General features: G+C 47.9%; 1 protein-coding gene across 11 annotated transcripts in view, besides 10 other annotated features; it reads left to right on the top strand.

Moving 5' to 3' along the window:
* The window catches only part of LITAF (lipopolysaccharide induced TNF factor), a 92596-nt gene that overhangs the window by 47039 nt on the left and 21822 nt on the right, over nt 1–23735 (top strand). Inside the window, exon 1 of one of the 11 annotated variants that reach the window (NR_024320.2) lies at nt 5813–5941. The exons of 5 other annotated variants lie outside the window; for them this stretch is intronic. The gene's annotated coding sequence lies outside the window, so the exon portion shown is untranslated. Of the gene's footprint in view, nt 1–5812; nt 5942–6095; nt 6129–6328; nt 6394–7067; nt 7134–16286; nt 17874–23735 lie in introns of those variants that run through there. 5 more of the 11 variants (XM_006720982.4, NM_001136473.1, NM_001136472.2 and 2 more) reach the window with 5 other exon arrangements.
* Nucleotides 6007–6486: a silencer, noted in NCBI's record as "silent region_7205". NCBI's record gives its function as "represses an Ori minimal core promoter by ATAC-STARR-seq in GM12878 lymphoblastoid cells {active_cell/tissue: GM12878}" and the evidence as "EXISTENCE:reporter gene assay evidence [ECO:0000049][PMID:35858748]".
* Nucleotides 6517–6596: a silencer, noted in NCBI's record as "silent region_7204". NCBI's record gives its function as "represses an Ori minimal core promoter by ATAC-STARR-seq in GM12878 lymphoblastoid cells {active_cell/tissue: GM12878}" and the evidence as "EXISTENCE:reporter gene assay evidence [ECO:0000049][PMID:35858748]".
* Nucleotides 7497–7606: an enhancer, noted in NCBI's record as "active region_10450". NCBI's record gives its function as "activates an Ori minimal core promoter by ATAC-STARR-seq in GM12878 lymphoblastoid cells {active_cell/tissue: GM12878}" and the evidence as "EXISTENCE:reporter gene assay evidence [ECO:0000049][PMID:35858748]".
* Nucleotides 18472–18766: a silencer, noted in NCBI's record as "tiled region #2706; K562 Repressive non-DNase unmatched - State 22:ReprW". NCBI's record gives its function as "represses a minimal TATA promoter and a strong SV40 promoter by Sharpr-MPRA in K562 cells {active_cell/tissue: K562}" and the evidence as "EXISTENCE:reporter gene assay evidence [ECO:0000049][PMID:27701403]".
* Nucleotides 20357–21294: an enhancer, noted in NCBI's record as "H3K4me1 hESC enhancer chr16:11665841-11666778 (GRCh37/hg19 assembly coordinates)". NCBI's record gives its function as "activates a minimal SCP1, AML or CMV promoter by ChIP-STARR-seq in naive and primed H9 embryonic stem cells {active_cell/tissue: H9 hESC(naive and primed)}" and the evidence as "EXISTENCE:reporter gene assay evidence [ECO:0000049][PMID:30033119]".
* Nucleotides 20373–20615: a silencer, noted in NCBI's record as "fragment chr16:11666520-11666762 (GRCh37/hg19 assembly coordinates)". NCBI's record gives its function as "represses an EF-1alpha promoter that drives an FKBP-Casp9 reporter gene in an ReSE screen in K562 erythroleukemia cells {active_cell/tissue: K562}" and the evidence as "EXISTENCE:reporter gene assay evidence [ECO:0000049][PMID:32094911]".
* Nucleotides 20803–20872: an enhancer, noted in NCBI's record as "active region_10449". NCBI's record gives its function as "activates an Ori minimal core promoter by ATAC-STARR-seq in GM12878 lymphoblastoid cells {active_cell/tissue: GM12878}" and the evidence as "EXISTENCE:reporter gene assay evidence [ECO:0000049][PMID:35858748]".
* Nucleotides 20883–20932: an enhancer, noted in NCBI's record as "active region_10448". NCBI's record gives its function as "activates an Ori minimal core promoter by ATAC-STARR-seq in GM12878 lymphoblastoid cells {active_cell/tissue: GM12878}" and the evidence as "EXISTENCE:reporter gene assay evidence [ECO:0000049][PMID:35858748]".
* Nucleotides 20912–21206: a silencer, noted in NCBI's record as "tiled region #1740; HepG2 Repressive non-DNase unmatched - State 14:Gen5', and K562 Repressive non-DNase unmatched - State 22:ReprW". NCBI's record gives its function as "represses a minimal TATA promoter and a strong SV40 promoter by Sharpr-MPRA in HepG2 and K562 cells {active_cell/tissue: HepG2 | K562}" and the evidence as "EXISTENCE:reporter gene assay evidence [ECO:0000049][PMID:27701403]".
* Nucleotides 20943–20992: an enhancer, noted in NCBI's record as "active region_10447". NCBI's record gives its function as "activates an Ori minimal core promoter by ATAC-STARR-seq in GM12878 lymphoblastoid cells {active_cell/tissue: GM12878}" and the evidence as "EXISTENCE:reporter gene assay evidence [ECO:0000049][PMID:35858748]".

Genomic DNA, 23735 nt, shown 5'->3' with positions numbered 1-23735 from the left:
GTTCAAGCGATTCTCTTGCCTCAGCCTCCCGAGTAGTTGGGTTTACAGGCATCTGCCACCATGCCCGGCTAATTTTTGTATTTTTATTTTTATTTATTTATTTATTTTGAGACAGAGTTTCACTCTGCTGCCCAGGCTGGAGTGCAGTGGCGCAATCTCCGCTCACTGCAAGCTCCTCCTCCGGGGTTCATGCCATTCTCCTACCTCAGCCTCCTGAGTAGCTGGGGCTACAGGCGCCTGCCATAACGCCCGGCTAATTTTTTTGTATTTTTAGTACAGACGGGGTTTCACCTTGTTAGCCAGGATGGTCTCGATCTCCTGACCTCGTGATCAACCCACCTCGGCCTCCCAAAGTGCTGGGATTACAGGCGTGAGCCACCACACCCGGCCAATTTTTGTATTTTTAGCAGAGATGGGGTTTCGCCACATAGGCCAGGATGGTCTCAAACTCCTGACCTCAAGTGATCTGCCAACCTCGGCCTCCCAAAGTGTTAGGATTACAGGCATGAGCCACCGTGCCCGACCCCAAATTTTTTTTTGTAGCTATCATAGTGAGTATAAAGAGGTATCTCGTTGTGGTTTTGATTTGTATTTCCTTGCTGACTAGTGATGATGAACATCTTTTCATGTGCTTCTTGGCCATTTGTGTATTTTCTTGGGGGTAAGGTCTACTCAAGTCCTTTGCCCTTTTTTTTTTTTCTTTTGAGACAGGGTCTTGCTCTGTCATCCAGGTTGGAGTGCAGTGACATGATCTCTGCTCACTGCAGTGTTGACCTCCCAGGCTCAGGTGATCCTCCCACCTCACCTCCCAAGTAGCTGGGACCACAGGTGCCTGTCACCATGCCTGGCTAATTTTTGTATTTTTAGTAGAGATGGGGTTTCACCATGTTGGTTAGGCTGGTCTCAAACTCCTGACCTCTGGTGAGCCGCCCGCCTCAGTCTCCCAAAGTACTGGGAGTATAGGCGTGAGCCACCGCACCCAGCCCCAGTGCCCATTTTTACACTAGGTTGTTTGTTGTTTTTTTATTGCTGAGTTGTAAAAGTTCTTTATATAATCTGGATACTAGACCCTTATCAGATATATAATTTGCAAACATTTTCTCCTCTTCTGTGGGTTGTCTTTTTACTCTCCTGATAGTGTCCTTGGGCGCACAAAAGTTTTCCATTCTGATGAAGTCCAATTTATTTATTTCTTATTTTATTGCTTGTGCATTTGTTTTCATATTTATAAAACAATTGTCAGATCCAAGGTCATGAAGATTTATGCTGTTGTTTCCTTCTAAGAGTTGTATGAGTCAACCTTTGTATATGATGTGAGGTAGAGATCCAACTTCATTCTTCTACATGTGGATATCCAGTTGTCCCAGCACCACTTGTCAGAAAGACTCTCAGCTGGGCATAGTGGCTCATGCCTGTAATCTCAGCACTTTGGGAGGCCAAGGTGGGCGGATCGCTTGAGGTCAGGAGTTTGAGACCAGCCTGTGGTGGTGCATGCCTGTAATTCCAGCTACCTGGGAGGCTGAGGCAAGAGAATTGCTTGAACTTGGGAAGTGAATGTTGCAGTGAGCCAAGATCACGCCACTGCGCTCCAACCTGGGTGACGGAGTGAGACTCTGTCTCAAAAAAAAAAGACTCTTTCTCCATTGAATGGTCTTGGCATTCATTGATCATAGATATATGGTTTATATGTAGACTCCCAATTTTATTTCATTGATTTATATGTCTATTCTTATGCCAGAACCACATGCTTTGATTACTGTATCTCTGTAGTAAGTTTTAAAATCAGAACGTGTGGGCCAGGTGCAGTGGCTCATACCTGTAATCCCAGCACTTTGGGAGGTGGAGGTGGGAGGACTACTTGAGCCCAGGAGTTCAATACCAGCCTGGGCAACATAGTGAGACCACATCTATACAAAAAATTTAAAAATTAGCTAGGCATGGTGGTGCGCACCTGTAGTCCCAGCCACTCTGGAGGCTGAGGTGGGAGGGATCGCTTGAGCCCAGGAGTTTGAGGCTGCAGTGAGCTATGATGGCACTACTACATCCCAGAATGGGCAACAGAATAAGACTCTGTCTCAAAAACAAAGTGTAAAAAACAGAAACAGTGGATCCTCCAACTTTGTTATTTTTCAAGATTGTTTTGGCTATTTGAAATCCCTTGTAATTCCATATTAATTTTAGGATCAGCTTGTCTATTTTTGCCAAAAAAGGCAGCTGGAATTTTGATAGAGATTACATTGGACCTGGGCCGGGCACGGTGGCTCACACTTGAAAGCCCAGCAATTTGGAAGGCCGAGGCAGGTGGATCACTTGAGTCCAGGAGTTCGAGACCAGCCTGGCCAACACGATGAAACTCTGTCTCTACTAAAAATACAAAAATTAGCCAGGCTTGGTGGTGCACACCTGTAGTCCCAGCTACTCGAGAGGCTGAGGCAGGAGAATCGCTTGAAACCAGGAGGCAGAGTTTGCGGTGAGCCGAGATCGTACCACTGCACTCCAGCCTGGGCAACAGAACGAGACTCTATCTCAAAAACACAAAACAACAACAACAAAAACAGAGATTACATTGGACCCGTACATCAGTTTGGGAAGTATTGCCATTTGTGATCATTACTTTTACACATCAACGTGGCTAGCCTATAGTACCCAGTTATTCAATTAAACACCAATCTAGATGTTGCTGTAAAAGTATTTTGCAGATGTGGTTTATTTTAGTTGACTTCAGGTAAAGGAGACGGTCTCCTTTACTTAATTCAATACTTTATCACAAAGTATTGAATATCTCATGTAATTTACTGAATACTATACTAAAAGTTAAAAACAGAATGGTTGTAAGGGTACTTGAAGTACGGTTTCTTTTGAATGTGTATCACCATCATAAAGTCAAAAAATCATAATTGAACCATCATTAAGTCTGGTACCATCTATATATGTATATATCTCCTCTCTCTTTCTTTGAAAGATTTCTGACTGATATACCACTTTAACTATATTAAATCTTCTGGTCCATGAATGTCTTTCCATTTATTTAGTTTTCTTTAATTTCTTTCAGCAATGTTTTGTAGTTTTCAGTGTATAGGTCTTGTTTGAACTTCCTTAGTTAAGCGTTTTCCTAAGTATTACATTCTCTCTCTCTCTTTTTTTTTTTTTTAGAGATGGGGTCTCGCTATGTTGCCCAGGCTAGATTCAAACTCTCATGCTCAAGGGGATCCTTCTGCCTCAGCCTCTTGAGTAGCTGGGACTACAGGTGTGTGCCACCATACCCAGCTTCTATCCTTTTGAGGCTATTGTAAATGGAGCCATTTTCTTAATTTCATTTTTGGATTGCTCATTGCTAGTATATAGAAATGCAACTGGCTGGGTGTGGTGCCTCACACCTGTAATCCCAGCACTTTGGGAGGCCCAGGCAGGTGGATGGCTTGAGCCCAGGAGTTTGAGACCAGTCTGGGCAACATAGCAAAGCCCTATCTCTACAAAAAATTACAAAAAAAAACTAGCTGGGCACAGTGGTACATGCCTGTAGTCCCAGCTACTGAGGAGGCTGAGGTGGGAGGATCGCCTGAGCTCAGGAGGTCAAGGCTGCAGTGAGCTGTGATCGAGCCACTGTACTGCAGCCTGGGTGACAGAGACCCTGTCTCGAAAAAAAAAAAAAAAAAAAAGCAACTGATTTTTGTATGTTAATCTTAAATCCCACAACTTTGCTGAACTGGTTTATTAGCTCTAATAGGTATTTAGTACATTCTTTAGGGTTCTTACATATAGGATCATATCACCTGTGAATAGAGATAGCTTCACTTTATCCTTTTCAATCTGGATGCTTTTATTTTTCTTGCCTAATGGCAATGGCCAGAACCTCCAGGACAATGTTGGACAGAGGTGGCCAGAGTGGGCACTTTGGCTTGTTCCTGTTCTTAGGGGTAAAACTTCCAGTCTTTTACCATTAAGTGTGTCATTAGCTCTGGGATTTTCATAGAAGCCCTAAGGTTGAGGAAGTTCCCTTCTATTTCTAGTTTATTATTATTTTTTTAATCATGAAAGCATTATTGGATTTCTTCAAATGCTTTTTCCGTCTATTGAGATGATCACGTGGCCCAGTTTACTTTTACCCCCTGGTTGGAAGCCTTGGGTTGGAAATTCAATCTCTGTGGTTTTTTGGGGATCAAAGAAAAGAGTTACAGTCTTATAGCTCTCCCCATAAATAATTGCAAGCTCACAGCCGTGGTAAGTGTTTAGGATGGATAAAAACACAAAGCTGGCTCCTGTTGCTGCTCAGCAGTTGGGGAAAGAAAAACAAATGAAGATGTGGTAGTATTCAGTAAAGGACAGAAGAAAATTCAGGCTTACTACTGCTTTTTACAGGAAGGAAGGGAGGAAGCGAGGAAGGGAGGAAAGGAGGAAGGGAGGAAGGAAGGAAGGAAGGAAGGAGAAAAGGTTGGGAGGGAGGGAGAGACAGAAAGGAAGGAAGGAAGAAAAGCATTCATACAGGGATGTTTCTTGAACGTTATCTCTGAGAGATTTTCCCTAGGTGTTATGTCTCCCTAGCAATGGTCTGTGATATTCTGTCTTAATGTCAGTATAATAATTGGTACCTTTGCAAGCCTTGGTTGCATCCTGAGAATGGAGGAATGGCAGAGGTTGGGTGTAATCCAATTTCCTGTTCTTCTCTTCTCCCTCCCTCCCTCCCTTCCTTCTTTCCTTCTCTTTCTTTTCCCTTTCTTTCTTTCTCTTTCTTTCTTCTTTTTCTTTCTTTTTTTTTTCTTTCTCTTTTCCCTCTTTCCCTCTTTCTTTCTTTGTTGCTTGCTTGCTACAGTGCAGTGGCTCGATTATAGCTCACTACAGCCTCAACCTCCGGAGGTCAAGGAATCCTCCCACCTCAGCCTCCTGAGTAGCTGGCACATGCCACCACTCCACCGCTTTATTATTATTCTTTTAATTAAAAAAATTTTTATAGAGATGGAGTCTCACTATGTTGTCCAGCCTGGCCTTGAACTCCTGGGCTCAAGAGATCCTCTGGCCATGGCCTCCCAAAGTCCTGAGACTATAGGCAAGAGCCACTGCACCCGCCCCCTTCATATTTTAAAAGCAGTAAAATGTTGCCCACACTAATAACATCTACATGGGAACCTCCTATGCTTGGGAGAACTTTGAAATCCCTTCCAACTTGGTAACTCGTCCACGGCTGAGGGTGGCCCGTCAGTGGACATGGCGCAAGGTGGCAAGAACTTGGGGCTGGGGACACTTTGCTGAGGGACCCGGGACAAGCCACACTCCCTATCTGGGCCTCACTATCTTTAGGACCTCGGGTAAAGGCATGGGATTTGGGCACCGGAGGGTTCTAAGATCCAGGTCTTTGCCAGCATGGGGCTCGGAAGCTCCCTGTCCAAATGGCGTTTGTTTGTGGATGGCCACATCATGGTTCTGCCCATCTCCTGACTCTGTGTACTCTGAAAGCCAGGCATGCTTCTTAATTCCCTCTAATGATTTCCCAGAGAGCCTGCTGGATCCAGGCTGCTGCTGTTATCACTGCAGCCGGCCGATGGGGCTCCAAGCAGACGGGCAGATGGCACCCATTTAGGGGCGGATGTGAAATGGGGCTACTGATTTCCAGAGCTTGCTTTCAGTGATGGCTGAGAAAGGCCTACCTGGCGGCACGGACCACCCTGGGGGCACAAAGCGGACAGGCAGCTGATAAGCCTTACCTAATACCTATCCTGTGCTAAAAACTTTACCATCTTCCCAGTTCACTCCCAGTCGGTCTTAGGAGACAGGACCGCTATTGTGCCCATTTTGCAGACAGGAAGCCGAGCTCAGAGAGGATGGGTAACATGCCCGAAGGCACAGAGAGTGTCTTGGTCTGTCCGGACGCGTCTGTAGAGTTACAGGAAGAGAAGGGCCGCCCTCCAGAGGGCCGGGAGCGCCCCAGCGCGGGTCCGGGGTCGAGGTTGGTGGTCCCGCCGCCTGGAAGTGGTGGAGCGGCGCGGGGAGGGGGGAAAGTGGGGAGAGCCGCGAGCGGCAAATCAGGAGGGAGGGCCAGGCTGTCGGGGGCGGACGGGTGGGGCTGGCACCGAGAGGCAGGGGCAGGATAGGAGAGTGGGGGAGACACCAGGTCCGCGCCAGGCGTCTCGGGGGTAAGCCTGGGAAGCTCTGGGGTGGCGAGCGAGCCGGGTGTGGGATGGAGCCTGGGGGCGATCAGAGTGAGGCGGGGAACCGGCGGTGGTCTCGCCTGGGGCCCAGGTGCGGGCCGCGGGGGCGGGAGAAGCCGGAAGCCCAAGCCGGCCGCGCTCCGCCCCGGCGGGTCCAGCCCCCGCCCCCGTCCCCGCCGCCCGGCCCTTTTCTCGGGGCGCCCGAGAGGCCAGCTCAGACCTCCCGGCTCGACAGGCGGCGCGGGCGGCGGTGAGTGCGGCGCGGGGACGCCGGGGCGCGGGGACCAGCGGGAGACAGCGGGGGGCCGGTGGCGCCAGCACCTGCTGGGGGCCCCGGGCACTGAGCCCTTGGCTGGGGCCTCCTGGGATGCCAGGGGGCGCGGGTCGGGTCGCGGGCATCGAGGCGCGGCGGAGGGCGTGGGGGCCCGGCCGGGGCGGGGTCCGGCCTCCCAGCGCTGGTCCCGGCCGCGTCTCCGGTTGGGTTCAGCTCCTGCGTCCCAGAGTGGCCCGATCGCGCGTGGCGGGGTCGTCCGGCCCCCACCCGAACGAGCGCCCTTCGCGGCCCGCCGCGTCCCCCTCCCCGGAGAGGACGGCCCCTGGGCTTTTTAGAAAAAGGCGCGATTCTCTCTAGTGACTCAGGTTGAGATTTCCAGAAATATCCCCCGGGGGTTCAGAAACAAAACCAAAACAAACAAAAAAACCCCAACGAATTCCCAAATGCTATTTGCCAAACATTTGACTTCTAGGGGCGCGGGTACCCGCGTTTCTCTCCCTGCCCCCGCGACTTCGCGCAAGATCCGGGAAGGACACCCGAGGCCCCTGGGAGACCCTGGGGAGGTGAAAATCAGAGAGCGAAGCGGGCCGTGGCCCCTAGGCCTGACCCCTCCCCGCGGGGTAAGGCGGGCACCCCGCGAGCGCAGGGGTCCTCTTACTGCTGATGGCACCCAGCTCTGGGCCCAGACGCCGCTCACCGTCCACCGCCGGTGCTGGGTAGGTGCTGGTGGGACCAGCTGGTGACTGGTGGCAGAAGTGGATCTCGCCCCTCCCTGCCAAGCTAGGCAAATACCCTCCCCGCTCTGGTTTGCAGGTCACTGTGGATAGGTGGTCAGTTGGTGGTGTGCCCGAAGCTCTTCGGGGTCAGGGAGAGGAGGTGATAGGGGAAAGGTGTATGTTCTGGAAGGGCCAGTCATGCTTCAGGGACCAGGCTAGTTGGACCTTCACTGGTTTTCTACTTCCCGACAGTGGAGCTGATGTCACTGGCTGTTGGACTGAGCAGTGGTCACTGGGAAATCTACAGTTTGTGGAAGCCACGGGGTCTTCCAAGCTCCTACCAGTCTTCCCAAAGAGGATGCCTCCCTCCCCTTGGCCTGGTGCACTGGTGCTGGTTCAAAGACTGTCTGAAGCCCAGCTTGGGGTCCTCTTTAGGAAAGCCATGATTTGCCTTAATGTGTGCTTGGCTGCTTCATCTGCCCTCTCACCCCCTGCCTTCTCAGAGTGACTCTTTTTAGGACTTCCTATTTAGGACTAACCCAGATGCCTACAGAGAGAAGTGCAGGCTGGTATCTGGAATTCCACCAGTGTTTTGGTTTTATCAGTTGGAGCAGGATCTAGATGGCGTGTGACTTGCTTTACCTGGCATAGAGTAACACCCATATTGCACTTGGCTTTCTTCTCCACCAGCCCTTGCTCTGGGAACTAAATGTGCACCAAACTCTCTAAGAAACATTTAATTGTAATCTACCATGAGGGAGGCCCATCTCCCTCTTTCCTGTTACTTTAAGGCATGAATAATTGATGCATTTATTCACATTTGAGAAAGTATCTTGTAATGTTTTCACAGATTAAGTGACTGGGTGATTGATCTAAGACGTAGGATCAATTTCTTTCTTTTTTTTTTTTTTTTTTGAGACAGAGTCTCACTGTCGCCTAGGCTGGAGTGCAGTGGTGCGATCTCGGCTCACTGCAACCTCTAACCCTCCCCACCCCACCTCAACCCCCTGCCTGAGTTCAAGCAATTCTAGTGTCTCAACCTCCCAAGTAGCGGGGATTACAGTTGGGTGCCACCATGCTTAGGTAATTTTTGCATTTTTAGTAGAGACAGAGTTTTGCCATGTTGGCCAGGCTGTTTTCGAACTTCTGACCTCTAGTGATCCACCTGCCTTGGCCTCCCAAAATGCTGGGATTACAGGTGTGAACTACCTCACCCGGCCCATTTCTTAAGTCTCTAAAATAGTAGATTGAAGTGTAATTCACTGTCTTTGGGGAATACATTTCCCTTTGTTACTTCCGTTCCTTTTATGGGCGGGCTGTTGAGAAATAAAGCGCTACCCTTGCCGTGTAAAGGATGCAGAAGAATGGCTCCTGGTCCTGAGGGGTTTACGCAATGGGTAGAAAGTAGAAACACACACCGGCGAAAAAGCTGGTGCTTGCTAATGCCCTTGTAACTCCAGAAAGGGCTTGAGAACAGTGGAAAGGAGGCAGCTAAGTTAGAGAAAGTTTCATGGAAAAACTGAGGCCTGAGCACATGTGGCAGAAGGAACATGAGGACATAGTTCAGACAAACAGGAGGGTCTCAGTAGAGCTGTGGAAGAGGTACAGACAAGCCCAGGTGGTTGAAGACAGTAAATGGAAAATCCACTGAGAGGAAGGAGCTGGAAGGCGTTTCCAGCCCAAGTTAATTTTCAAGAAAATAAACAGTGCATATTTTGCTGACATTACCCATCCTCACTGCTCAGAGGTGTATAATAGCACTTTGAGAATGGGCTGGTGCCGTTTTGTGACTTAAACTTCTCCCACTGAATAGGAATTTCCCCAGAGCTACAGTGAGGGTGGAAAAAAGAGGATCTGCAAGAGGAAGTCCTGTATTCTTGGCACTGTGACTTGTCCTCTATTTGTTTTCGCTTTTACAGCAGTGAAAATAGCCCCGTGGGTGAGGCGGTCTATCAGGTAAATAGACTTCCTTAGTTCTGTGTTTCTTTAGCACACATATTTTTGACGTCTCCCGGGTCTGTTTGGCCACCCATGGTCTGTTCTGAATTTGATTGATGTTTACTTGCCTAAGAATTGTTATTTGAGGTCAAGTGGCATTTTCCAGGGTCCTCATAATTTCATCTTGTTGTTTGAGCCTGTATTGATTGACACTCTGGACACAGGTGACAACAGCTTTGTAGCTAATGAAGTTGTCCCTTGGCTGCAGGTTATTTCAGTAGAAGAATTGTGTAATTTCATAGAGCTTAAGGCATGGACACAAGAAAGGAACCATTCTGGAGGGTGTCTATGTGATGGTAATTCTCTGCTCACCTCGCAGTAGGTAGGAGTTTATATACCAGGATCCAAAGCTGGAGGCTTCAGAGAAAATAATGTTGGAGAATTTAAGCTATTTAGCTCATGGAGCCTTAGATTTAATTGACAGTGTGCCTCAGGTAAGTTTAAGAGCTTAATGATGTCTTGCCTTAAACTTGAATCCATGAGGTTATTCCTAGATGATGCACTGATAGTTTGAAATTTTTTATTAAAAAATATTAAAGTGTGGAAGATAAAGAAGAAAGGCATAATCTTATAGAACGAAACAACTACCACTGGCTGTCCTTATCGGGCGGCTTCTGTCTTTTGTCTTTGTGCCTGTTTTCTATGAAATTGTCATCAGCGTTCATACAATTTTGTATCCTAATGCAGTCTCAGTCTTATTAATGATCTCCTTGCACTGTTTGATGAAAAACTGTGATTCACGTGGAAACTAGGGATGTGGTTTCACCAGGAGTCCAGAGGAAAACTGCCCACTCTGATTGTGGGGGAGCAGCCCAACTCCCCGATGGAAGCATTTTCCATTCCACAAATCACTGTGATTTGTCATTACGCCATGCTTGAACCTGGCTTTAAGATTGTGGTAACTTTATCTTTGACTTGTGGGACATACCGCCCTGCAGAAACAGCCTGAACTCAGAAGATGGAATTGGCACACATTTCTCTGAAATATTTCACTCTGAGCTTCTGTACTTTTACTGAGGTCTACTGAAACTGGAATTTGTTTGGGATCAAATAACCAAAGGCCAATTTCTCGCTTCCTTTCCCAAAGAGCTGGAGGTCCGGGTTTCCCCTTTTGTCTACCTTCCTGCTTAACCATTTATGGCTTAAGACGCACCATTCACCTTGAACATTTTCAGGAATGATAGACAGGTTAAATTCCATGACAACAAAAACCGTATTGCAGAATTATTGTAGCTTAAAACCTGCCAGGTGACCCTCCTTAGTTTAAGAATTTTAAGCAATATTCAATTTAATAAGTGTACAATTTGGATAGTTCCTGAAAGTTGATTATAGTCAGGATCCACTGTGCTCCCATTATTGGAAATAACGTTTTTCTCCAGAGACCCTAAAAGACCAGACCTTTTTGACCCTCGCAGCTGGTTCTCTTTCTTGTTTACAAACTAGGCTATTTTCTTAGGGGACCTGACAATTTGCATGTGAGTGCCCTTCTTTTGCCTAAGGAATCCCTTTTTTTATTCTGGGGTCATTTCTGCGATATACATATTCATGGGCCTAGCTTAGTGTTTCTTTTCTGGGGGCTGGGAGATGGAGACCAGAGTAGAATTGAATATTTCTCCTTTTTCTTCCTGGAAGAATCGATCTTCGAGGATTAAGTTGGTAGTTAAAAAGCCGCTTTATCTTTCTGAAGGCCTTGCCCTTTTATGTGTTGATCTGATACCCAAATGTAGAAAACAGTTCTATACACAGCTTGAGGATATATTTTTAGAAGAGTTTACCACCCACATGTGGCTAAAGCTTTGTGGGGAGTTCTTTTTTTTTTTTTTTTTTTCCGTTGTGAGTGAAATAGATATTTCACTATATCTTGCTCTTGTTTTCAAACCCTTTAAAAAGCCATTGACCATTTTCTCTTTTATTTTTAGTTGACACATAATAATCATACACATTTATGGGATAAAGAGTGATATTTTCTTATATGTCTCCAGTGTGTAATTGATCAAAGAGTAATTGGCATGTTCATCACCTCAAACACTTATCATTTCTTTGTGTTGTGAGCATTCAGAATTCTCTCTTCTAGCTATTTGAAAATATACACTGAATAATTGTTAACCATATTCACCCTACAGTTCTACAGAACAGTAGAACTTATTCCTCCCATTGAACTGTAACTTTGTACCTATCAACCAACCTCTCTCTAGCCTCTCTTCCCCTCCCCTTTGTAACCTCCAGTAACCACAGTTCTTTTCTCTACTTCTGTGAGCTCAATTTTGTCGTCCTTCCTTTGTGGAAGCTGTGAAATACCTTTCGAGGGGAGTGCGGACTTGTGGTCAGGTGTAAATATGCATTCAGCTGGGCAGAGTTTGGGAGATTCCTTTAAAACCTGTTCTTTTGCTGAAATTCTAGGTATCTTTTTATTTTATTTTATTTTTTATTTTTCACCTCATCAGTTAGAAGTGTCAGAAACTCTCCTTTACCCCCCACTTAGTCTTTGGCATTTAACCAAAATATACTTTATTTACTTATATATTTTTTGAGATAGGGCCTTGTTCTGTTGGCCAGGCTGGAGTACAGTGGCGTGATCACAGCTCCATGCAGCCTCAACCTCCCTCTCGAGCTCAAGCCATCCTTCCACCTCAGCCACCACACTAATTTTAGTGGTTTTTTGTTGTAGAGACAGGGTTTCGCCATGTTACCCAGGCTGGTCTCAAACTCTTGGAGTGAAGTGATCCATCCATCTTGGCCTCTCAAAGTATTGCCATTACAGGCATGAGCCTCACCCCAAAGCACTCAAATTTTGTTTTTTTAAATTGAACTTGAGTGCTTTGGGGTAAGACCTGCCTATTCCATTTCACCTTATAGTTTTTCTTACTCTTGGCCTATGTAGGGGAGAGAGAAGACTTTCTTTCTGCCTTCTGAAGGTACCATAATTGAGCCTATGAAATAAACTGATGATAGATTAACGGATGAAAATACATACAAATTTATTCCATGCATAAATGTGGGAGTCCCACAGAAAGTGAAACTCAAAGCAAGGTCAGATAATTGAAGTTTATGTAGTGTGCCTGAGCTACGAAAAAGGAATAAGCGGCTGGGCGTGGTGGCTCATGCCTGTAATCCCAGCACTCTGGGAGGACAAGGCAGGAGGATCGCTTGAGCCCAGGAGATCAAGACCAGCCTGGGCAACATGGCAAAGCCCTGTCTCTACAGAAAATACAAAAATTAGTCTGGCATGGTGGCTCATGCCTGTGATCCCAGCCACTCTGGAGGCTGAGGCAAGAGGATCGCTTGAGCCTGGGAGGTCGAGGCTGCAGTGAGCCGAGATAGTGCCACCGCACTCCCGCCTGAGTGACAGACAAGACCCTGTCTCAAAATAAAAAAGAAAAAGGAATAGGGGCCTGGGGCTCCTGGAGGCAGGTGGTGATAGGTTATAGAAGGGTAAGGGGAGGAAATGTATGGTGAACAAAGGTTGCCTTGTTAATGCAGATAAAAAGCCTCTTGAATGATGAAAGTTGTCTCAGAGTAGCCTCAGAAGAGCAGGTGATGGCTTGTGACCAGGTGTCGACCTTCAGTCTCCTCTCCTAAGTTAAGATCTTCCAGCCAGGCACGGTGGCTCACGCCTGTAATACCAGCACTTTGGGAGGCCAAGGTGGGTGGATCATGAGGTCAGGAGTTCAAGAACAGCCTGGCCAACATGGTGAAACCCCGTCTCTACTAAAAATACAAAAATTAGCCGGGTGTGGTGGTGGGCATCTGTAATCCCAGCTACTCAGGAGGCTGAGGCAGGAGAATCACTTGAACCTGGGAGGCAGAGGTTACAGTGAGCTGAGATCACACCACTGTACGCCAGCCTGGGCCACAGAATGAGACTCCGTCTCAAAAAAAAAAAAAACTTCACTGGTTGATGAGGGTCCTATGATAGTCACTTTCCTTTACACAGATCAAGTATCTCTTCTCTGAAATGCTTGGGACCGGAAGTGTTTCAGATTTTGGATCTTTTTTTCAGATTTTGAAATACTGCATTCTACTTACTGGTTCAGCATCTCTAATCCAAAAATCCAAAATCCAGAATGCTCCAATGAGCATTTCCTTTGAGCATCATGTCTGTGTTCAAAAAGTTTCAGATTTTGGATTTTCACATTTGGGATAATCAACCTGTAGATTTCAATTTATTGTATCAAAGGGCAGCTTTTCAGAGCTGCTCCTGTGTCTGCAGTTTCTCAGAATAATCAGCTCAATATATGCCAAAGAAATAGATCCTGAGGTGACATGTTCTAGTCTCCTGCAGTCATATTTTGGGGTAGTGTGTCCTGAGCCCCATCACCTATCTGACTCATTTATAAGTGGGATCCCTGAAAGTATTTAAATAAACTTTTAATTTTGGCATAATTTTTGATTTGCAAGAAAGTTGTGAAGTTAGTACAGGGAGTTCCTCACCCAGTTCCTGGTTCTCTCCATTATTCACATCTTACATCACACAGTATGTTTGTCAAACCAAGAAACTGATGAGGGTATGTTATTGTTCACCAAACTCCAGACTTTATCTGGAGTTCCCAGTTCTCCCACTGATGTCCTTTTTTTCTGGGCCAGGGTCCTAACCTAGGGTACTACATTGCATTGATATATTTTATTTTATTTTATTTTATTTTATTTTATTTTATTTTATTTTATTTTATTTTATTTTATTTTATTTTTTGAGACGGAGTCTCGCTCTGTCGCCCAGGCCGGACTGCGGACTGCAGTGGCGCAATCTCGGCTCACTGCAAGCTCCGCCTCCCGGGTTCACGCCATTCTCCTGCCTCAGCCTCCCGAGTAGCTGGGACTACAGGCGCCCGCCACCGCGCCCGGCTAATTTTTTGTATTTTTAGTAGAGACGGGGTTTCACCGTGTTAGCCAGGATGGTCTCGATCTCCTGACCTCATGATCCACCTGCCTCGGCCTCCCAAACTGTGTTTTATTTTTTTGAGACAGAGTTTTGTTCTTGTTGCCCAGGCTGCAGTGCAATGGCACAATCTCAGCTAACTACAACCTTGGCCTCCCGGGTTCAAGCAACTCTCCTGCCTCAGCCTCCCGAGTAGCTGGGATTACAGGCACGCACCACCACACCCAGCTAATTTTTGTATTTTTAGTAGAGATGGGGTTTCCCCATGTTGGCCAGGCTGGTCTCGAACTCCCGACCTCAGGTGACCCACCCGCCTCGGCCTCCCAGAGTGCTGGGATTATAGGCATGAGCCACTGTGCCCGGCCCCACATTGCATTTAGTCATCTTGTCTCCTCAGCCACCCTGGCTATGTTAGTTTCTCAGTCTTGCTTTGTTTTTCATAACCTAGATACTTTTTGAAGATGAGGGATTCTGTAGAATTTCCCTCAAATCAGGGTTGTCTGATATTTTTCTCATGATTACAGTGGGGTTGTGGGTTCTGGGAGGAGAAGACCACGGAGGTGAAGTGTCCTTCTCATCCTGTCACATCAGAGGGCACATGACATGCACATGACATTGCAGATGTTAATATCAAGGGAGAGAGTAAAGTATTCCTGATGTTAATTAATATCAAGAGAGAGAGTGAAAAGGAGGTATTTGCCAGATTTTCTCGCTTGTAGTTTACTGTCTTTCCCTTTTCATAGATGGAGTTTTGCTCTTGTTGCCCAGGCTACAGTGCAATGGTGCGATCTTGGCTCGCTGCAACCTCTGCCTCCTGGGTTCAAGCAATTCTCCTGCCTCAGCCTCCTGAGTAGCTGGGATTACAGGCATGTGCCTGTATATAGACATGTTTCCCCATGTTGGCCAGGCTGGTCTCGAACTCCCGACCTCAGGTGATCCACCCGCCTTGGCCTCCCAAAGTGCCGGGATTACAGGCATGAGCCACCACGCCTGGCGACTCTGTTCTTTGAAAGAGAGTCAAGGAGTCCAGCCCACACACAGGAGAGGAAAGGGAGAGATTAAATTCCACCTCCTACGAGGTGCCATGGCTCATGCCTATAATCCCAGCAGTTTTGGAGGCTGAGGCGGGTGGATTACTTGAACCCACGAGTTTAAGACCGGCCTGAGCAACATATTGAGACCCCCATCTCTATGGAAAGTTAAAAAAAAATCGCTGAGTGTGGTGGTGCACACCTGTAGCCCCAGCTACTCAGGAGGCTGAGGTGGGAGGATCATTTGAGCCCAGGAGTTGAAGGCTGCAGTGAGTTACGATCAAGCCATTGCATGCCAGCCTGGAAATAGTGGAATGAGCAAGACCCCATCTCTACAAAAAATAGAAAATTAGCTGGGCTTGTTGATGCACACCTGCAGTCACAACTACTCGAGAGGCTGAGGGAGGAGGATCGCTTGAGCCCAGGAGGCTGAGGCCATAGTAAGCTATGATGGTGCCAATGGTGCCACTGCACTCCAGCCTGGGTGACAGAGTGAGACCCTGTCTCAAAAAAAGAAAATAAAATAAAAGTGCATCCCCTGGAGAGGGAGTATCTACTCATACTATTTGGAATTTGTCAGTGAGGAAGATTTGTCTTTTCTTGTTTAAAAAATAGACACTTCTGGCCAGGTGTGGTGGCTTACACCTGTAATCCCAGCACTTCGGGAGGCTGAGGTGGGTAGATCACTTGAGGTCATGAGTTCGAGACCAACCTGGCCAGCATGGTGAAACCTCATCTCTACTAAAAGTACAAAAACTAGCCGGGCGTGGTGGTGGGTGCCTGTAATCTCGGCTACTCGGGAGGCTGAGGCAGGACAATTGCTTGAACCTGGAAGGTGGAGCTTGCAGTGAGCCGAGATTGTGCCACTGCACTCCAGCCTGGGCAACAGAGGGAGACTCCGTCTCAAAAAAAAAAAAAAAAAAATAGACACTTCTAATGAGCTGATGCCATAGATACCCTGTCATAGATGGGATAGATGTGCCATATGGGCACAGGAGACCTCAGCTGTGCAAGGATGTCAGATGCACTTGGCTTTCTCAAGCCCTCGTGGGGAAATATAGATCACATCCCTTCCCCTGGGGTGGGCAGAGAGTAACGTAATATGGTCCAGTTAGGGAAATATTAATAGAAGCTAACTTGCAGACAGGAAGCAATTAGGATGCAGGAGGAAGACATATGTCATCAAGGGCTAGATCATGTGGTGTCAGCCAGGGGATGTGAAACAGGCATGAAAAGCGCTTGACAGGCAATGTCCACCACCACCCTGTTCCCACATTATCCGTAAGTCTTGCTAAAGGCAAGATTGCTGTTTTCTGGAATTTTCAAAGACAGACAGTTGGACTACCTGCAGTCATCTGGAATTTGGCCAGAACAAAGGAAGTAAGCAAATAGAAGACTCCCAAATAAGGTATATATTTATCATCAAAGCAGATGCCCAAGCCTGTTTACCTCACTCAGAGGAGGCGCCCACGGCAACTATGAACTCTTACTTTACACAGAGTCCTTGCACGCTGGGTTCTGCTGGTGTCCAAGTCCTCAGAGGCTTTGAAGTAGCAAATTGTGTTGGTGGGATGGAGCCGCCATCAGCCCCATGTTGGACTGTTGGCAGCCTGGGACCGTGTAGAACCACAGATGTGGACACAAGCATTTTTCCTTTCCTTTCTCTTTTTCTCTTTCTCTCTCTCTTTTTTTTTTTTTTTTTTTTTGCAGATTGTAAGAAAGGAGAGGGGAATATGGGAATTTATTTATTTATTTACTTATTTATTTATTTTGAGACAGTGTCTTGCTCTGTTGCCTAGGCTGGAGTGCAGTGGTGCGATCTCAGCTCACTGCAACCTCCACCTCCCAGGTTCAAGCAATTCTCATGCCTTAGCCTCTGGAGTAACTGGGACTACAGGCATGCACCACCTTGCCCAGCTAATTTTTGGATTTTTAGTAGAGATGGGGTTTCACCATGTTGGCCAGGCTGGTCTCGAACTCCTGACCTCAAGTGATTCACCCGCCTCGGCCTCCCAAAGCACTGGGATTACAGGCATGAGCCACCGTGCCCAGCTGGGATCGATTTTAGAAAAAGATTAAGGCTGAGTGCAGTGGCTTATGCCTGTAATCCCAACGCTTTGGGAGGATCACTTGAGGCCAGCCTGGGCAACATAGTGAGACCCCGTCTCTACAAAAAATTAAAAATTAAAAAAACTAGCTAATCATGGTGGCATGTGCCTGGAGTCCCAGCTGGTCGAGAGGCTGAAGTGGGAGGATCACTCGAACCCAGGAGTTCAAGGCTGTAGTAAGCTATGATTGCGCCACTGCACTGCAGCCTTGGCAACACAGCGAGACCCCGATTGTAAAACAAAGTTCAGTTTAAGAAAGAAAAAAGAAAAGAAAAAGGTTAAGATACTTTTTTCGGGGGAATGTTTACAGAGGCTGTGGGTCAGAATGAAGCAACACCAGAAGCTATGGAGACTGGGGTTTCTGCTGTGTTTCAACTTGGTTTTTTGTGTTCTCGGGAGAAGACACCCTTGGCCGTGGGCCGTGAGACCTTTGATGTGTGTTTACGCTGACCGCGAGTTGTTGGGATGGCTTCTGCGGTGGGTGGTTCTCTTGGTATTCTCGGTTTTGAAGCTTATTTTTAGACTCTGAACTCTCCTTCTTGGCAGGAGTTGAATCCCCCTGGGGGTTTTCAAGTTGTTCTTGGACTGCTGGTTTTTGAAATAGAAGCCCCTTTGGTGGGGTCCCCCATAAACCCAGGCGCTGGTGCCCACCTTGTGATGTGAAGGCTCCTGTAACACGACCTCACTTTCCTGGCCCCGCACTACTCACCTGCCCCACGGGACACAGGTACATGGCTTCTGGGTGTCTGTCCCCGCTGTACCCAGATCTGCCCCCTTGCCCTTGTCCCCAGATCCTCCACTCGCTCCTAGGAACCGTACCCCTCCCAAAACAAAAAAAGAAACTATACCCAGTCTCCCCTTCATATCTCTCCCACATCTGCCCCTGTTGGTTGACTTTGCCTCCCTATATGGGTCCCATAAGGCCGGCAAGGGAGGGTCCACATCTCTCAATCCTTTGTCCACCATTGGTGTTTAGAACCCCCTGGAGGAAAACTGGATCATAGTGCAACATGAAAAAAAAAGAACTTTAGGCCGGGTGCAGTGGCTCACGCCTGTAATGCCAGCACTTTGGGAGGCCGAGGTGGGCGGATCACTTGAGGTCAGGAGTTCGAGACCAGCCTGGCCAACATGGTGAAACCCTGTCTCTACTAAAAATAAAAAAATGAGCTGAGCGTGGTGGCATGCACCTGTAATCCCAGCTATTTGGGAGGCTGAGGCAGGAGAATCGCTTGAACCTGGGAGGCAGAGGTTGCAGTGAGCCAAGGTCACGCCACTGCATTCCAGCCTGGGCCACAGAATGAGACTCTGTCTCAAAAAAGAGAAAAAAAAAACTTTATATTGACAAATAGGATGTTGTTAGTGCAAATTTTGGGGTTGATATAGTGGGAGTGGTAAAGGGAACGTCTTCTTACCAAATAGAAATAATTAGAAGCTTTAATCACTCTGCAAACAGGGAAGGTCCCAGGGCCAGGTGCTGGGCAGGAACACAAAGGGCTGTGATGACATCACCTTTACCCAGAGGCGGGAAGGACCCAGGATGGAGGCCTGGGGAGGGCAGAGACAGGTTTGCAGAGGAGACTTTCTTTTTTAATTAAAAAAGTATGTATTTTGTAAATATGTAATATTACTATGGCTTAACATACAAAAGACCAGCAAGGGTGTAAAAGTGACCAGTGTTTGTCACACCCCATCCCCTAGTCCACCTGGTTCCCTTCCCGACAAACACCGACCGTTAAGTTTCTTATGTATGCCTTTGGAGACATTTTTTGCATATTATATAAAGAAATACTAGGCCAGGCATGATGGCTCATGCCTGTAATGCCAGCGCTTTGAGAGGCCAAGGTGGGAGGATTGCTTTAGCCCAGGAGTTTGAGACAAGCTTGGTCAACATACTGAGACCCCGTCTCTACAAAAAATAAAAAAATTAGCTAGGTGTGGTGGTGCACACCTGTAGTTCTAGCTGCTCTGGAAGCTGAGGCAGGAGGATCGCTTGAGCCTGGGAGCTCCAGGCTGCAATGAGCTATGATCATGCCACTGCACTCCAGCCTGGGCAACCCAGTGAGAACCTGTCTTTAAAAAACCCAGTGAGAACCTGTCTTTAAAAACAACAACAAAAAAAAAACCAAAAAAACGCCGGGCACCTTGGCTCATGCCTGTAATCCCAGCACTTTGGGAGCCCGAGGCGGGAGGATCACTTGAGGTCAGGAGTTTGAGACCAGCCTGGCCAACGTGGTGAAACCCCATCTCTACTAAAAAGACAAAAATTAGCTGGGTGTGGTGGTGGGCGCCTGTAATCCCAGCTATTTGGGAGGCTGAGGTAGGAGAGGTGCTTGAACCTGAGAAGTGGAGGTTGCAGTGAGTCGAGATCGCGCCACTGCACTCCAACCTGGGCAACAGAGCAAGACTCCTAAAAAAAAAAAAAAAAAAAAAAGGATATCTTCTTCTCTCACCATACACAAATGGTGGCACACTACAAACACTCTCCTGCCTCATTAAACATGATAGTATATCTTGGTGGTGATTGCATTTCTCCAAATAAAACTCTTCCTCGTTTCAGTACCTTGTGGGGAGGGACCATCCCTGATTGGTACCCTTGCCTTGCTGGCGGACTAGGCTTCTGCTGTTACCAGCAACGCTGTAGTGAATACCCCATGTGCTTGTCATTTTGTCATTTCAGCCACATGTGGGGGTTATTGCCAGCACACATTTCTGGAGGAAGAGTTGCTGGACTTGTTCATGTTAAATTTGGTTGGCCGTTTCTGTTGCAGGAGCCTCAGTTTATCGATACCCAGGCTAGCTCTCTGTGTGTGTTACCAACATTTTGCTCTTTGCCTGGTGGATGGGTGACAAATGATATCATGATATCATGGCATTGGTTATGGGGTTTAAAAAAAATCTTTTATGGCCGGGTGCAGTGGCTCACTCCTGTAACCCCTGGCCTTTGGGAGGCCGAGGCAGGCGGATCGCTTGAGGTCAGGAGTTTGGGACCAGCCTGGGCAACATAGTGAGACCCCATCTCTACCAAAAATACAAAAAGTTAGCCAGGCGTGGTGGCACACGCCTGTAGTCCCAGCTACTCAGGGGGCTGAGGCATGAGAATTGCTTGAACCTGGGAGGCGGAGGTTGCAGTGAGCTGAGATTGCGCCACTGCATGCCAGCTTGGTTGACAGAGTGAGACCCTGTCTCAAAAAAAAAAAAAAGAGCTTGAGATGTGCAGAAAATTGGTACAATTAATACAGAGAGCTCCCATTTACTGTCACCCAGCATCTACTTCCCTATGGGACACTGGCCACAACTGCTTCTCTGACACCGCTGCGTTACTGTTTACCAAACTCCAGGCTTTATTTGGACATCACCAGTTTTTCCAACTAAGGCTTTTCTGTGCCGGGGTTCTACGTTGTATTCAGTTGTCACCTCTCTATTCATTGTCCTCTGGTCTCTGACAGTTTCTTGGACTTTCCTGTTTTCCGTGACTTTGACAGTTTTGAGGAGTGCTGGCCTGATGCCCTGTGGCCGGTTTTCTCATGACTACGTGGGGCTGCGGGTTTAGGGGAGGAAGGCCACAGAGGCCCTTCTCACCTCATCCTGTCAGTCAGCCGGTGTGTGATGTCCCGTCAGCAGGTGTGTGATGTCCCGTCAGCAGGTGTGTGATGTCATGTGACTTCTCGCTGGTGTGTGATGTCATGTGACTTCTCGCTGACGATATTCAGCCCGATCATCTGTCTCTGTGTGGTTTTAGTTGCATCTCCCTGCTTTTGAGGAGGACTGGAGCATCATTTCATGCATGAGGACTCGGGGTGTTGTCTAGGGGAGGGCTGTGGTCAGCTTGATGCGTTTGAGGTTGAGGGGTGGGGGGAACCACAAGGGCTTCGTGCAGACCCTGCGTACCTGGGGAGCAGGAAGGGAACAGGAGTGTCTTGACGTGGAAGGTGGATTTGGAGGAGAGGCAGGTCACTGGAGGGGCTGAGGACCCAGGCTAAGGCAGGAGGGGGATTTTGTTTTGATCTGTTTATTTGTTTGTTTGTTTATTTATTTATTTATTTTGAGATAGGGTCTTGCTCTTTCACCCAGGCAGGAGTGCAGTGGCGTGATCACAGCTCACTGCAGCCTCAAACTCCTGGGCTCAAGTGATTCTCCCACCTCAGCCCTGTGAGTAGGTGGGACTACAGGTGCGCACCACCACGCCTGGCTAATTAAAAAAAGAGACAGAGTTTTGCCATTTTGCTCAGGCTGGTCTTGAACTCCTGGATTCAAGTGATCTCCCCACCTCACCTCCCAAAGTGCTGGGACTACAGGCATGAGCCACCGTGCTTGGAAAGATTAAACCATTTAGGAGACCTCAGGAAAAGAGCCAGCCGAGAGGGCGTGATTGGCAAGAGGGGACATTGTCTGAGCACAGTCCCTCCCAGAGACCACAGGGCCCACTCCCACCTAGAGATGGCCACATTCACCAGATTGAAGTTTGAACCAGAGGAGGAGGGCTGCTTCTGAGCCCAGGGCGGGCAGACAGATGCCTGGGGGTTCAGGTGGGAGGTTGAGGGGGTCTGACCTCTGCCTGGTGCCCCCTGCTGTGGGAGGGGGAAGAGTGCCCATTGAGAATCTGCAGGGCCAGTGGGGAATCTGGGCAACCCAGCTATGAGGGTGGATGGATGAGTTTTCTAACTCATTACCCTGAACTCAGTGGCTTAGGTAACGTGAATGTAGTATCTTCCAGTTCTGGAGCCTGAAGTCTGCAGTGGGCTTCCTCAGATTAAATGCAATGTGTCGACTGGGCGCAGTGGCTCACGCCTGTAATCCCACCACTTTGGGAGGCCGAGGCAGGCGAATCACCTGAGGTTAAGAGTTTGAGACCAGCCTGGCCATCATAGTGAAACTCCATCTCTACTAAAATACAAAAATTAGCCAGGCATGGTGTTGGGTGCCTGTAATCCCAGCTACTCAGAAGGCTGGGGCAGGAGAATCGCTTGAACCTGGGAGGCGGAGGTTGCAGTGAGCTGAGATCGCACTACTACACTCCAGCCTGGGCGACAGAGTGAGACTTGGACTCAACAACACACAAAAAATAGCAGTGTCAGCTGGACTGTGCTCCTGGAGGCTCCTGGGGAAAATCCATGGTCTTGCCTTTCCCAGCTTCCAGAGGCCGCCTGCATTTCTTAATTTATGGCTCCTTCCTCCCCCTTCAAAGCCAACAGCTTCCTTTTTCTACATTTAAACCCAACAGAGGTCTTGCTCTGTTGCCCAGGCTGGAGTGTAGTGGTGCAGCTGTGGCTCACTGCAGCCTCAACCCCCTAGACCCCACCCCCCAACCTCCTTCTACCTCAGCCTCCCAAGTAGCTGGGATGATACATGTGCGCTATCACACCTTGATAATTTTTGTAATTTTTGTAGTGATGAGGTCTCTCTATGTGGCCAGGGCTGGTCTCGAACTCCTCTACCTTTCTCTTATAAGGACCTTTGTGATTACACCGGGCCTACCTGGTTAATCCAGAATAACCCCCTCATCTCAAGATTCTTAATCACATACACAAAGTCTGTCTTTACCACTTAAGGTCACATATTCAGAGCTTCCAGGGATTAGGCTGTGAACAATTTTGGGGAGCATTATTCTGTCGCCCACACTGCGGGTAGGGGTGGGAAGGTCAGACTGTAGGGGATTTAGCCAAACAAGTGAATGTCTACCTGTGAAGCCGTGGAGGTACTGGGTACAGAACAGGTCCCTGTGGCGGGATGAGGTCTGTGCCTGGGTCCTCCTGCCTCTCACAGTGAAGCCCCCGTGTGACTGTGGGAAAGTCACCCCCTCCCTGGGTTTTACTCTCCTCTGTAATGACAGCTGTGTGTTGATATAATAGTAACCTGCTTACCCAATGTTCCGGTGTATTTTGCTCACTACATTCTCACAGCAGCCCTCTGAAGTGTAAGTACTACTGTTGGCCCATTTTCCAGATGAGGAAACCTGAGAGAAATTTGGCAACTCACCCCCATTTGCACACCGTAGAAGTGGCAGAGTTGGGATTTGAACCAAGGAGCCTGGGTCTTAGAGTTTCTGCTCTTAAAGGTTTGACCTGCCTTAAAATTCTGCCATTTTAACTTTTTTTTTTTTTTTGAGGCAAAGTCTCGCTCTGTGGCCCAGGCGGGAGTGCAGCAGTGCGTCTCGTCTCACTGCAATCTCCGCTTCCCAGGTTCAAGCAATTCTGCCTCAGCCTCCCAAGTAGCTGGAATTACATTCAAGCACCACCACACCTGGCTAATTTTTATATTTTTAGTAAAGACAAGAGTTTTGCCATGTTGGCCAGGCTGGTCTTGAACTTCTGACCTCAAGTGATCCACCTGCCTCTGTCTCCCAAAGTGCTGGGATTACAGGCGTGAGCCACCACGCTTGGCCCCATTGTCTTACCTTTCTTTTAGCCCTTTTTATTTCCCTCTTCATGCCCTGCCTGTTCACCATCATCTGTGTCTTCTCTTCACTCTGAGTAACAGTTGGGTGTTCAGTTGACCAGGCCGTAGTCCACGCCATTCCTACTCTCCCTGAGCTATGAGTGAATCTGTGACTCTTGTAAATAACAGGGGGACACACAGAGGTGTTTCTGAA

The sequence above is a fragment of the Homo sapiens genome, chromosome 16 (assembly GCF_000001405.40).
Source record: "Homo sapiens chromosome 16, GRCh38.p14 Primary Assembly".
Classification (NCBI taxonomy): domain Eukaryota; kingdom Metazoa; phylum Chordata; class Mammalia; order Primates; family Hominidae; genus Homo; species Homo sapiens.
The sequence above is the reverse complement of the archived record's forward strand: the minus strand, read 5'-3'. Positions and strand labels throughout refer to the sequence as shown.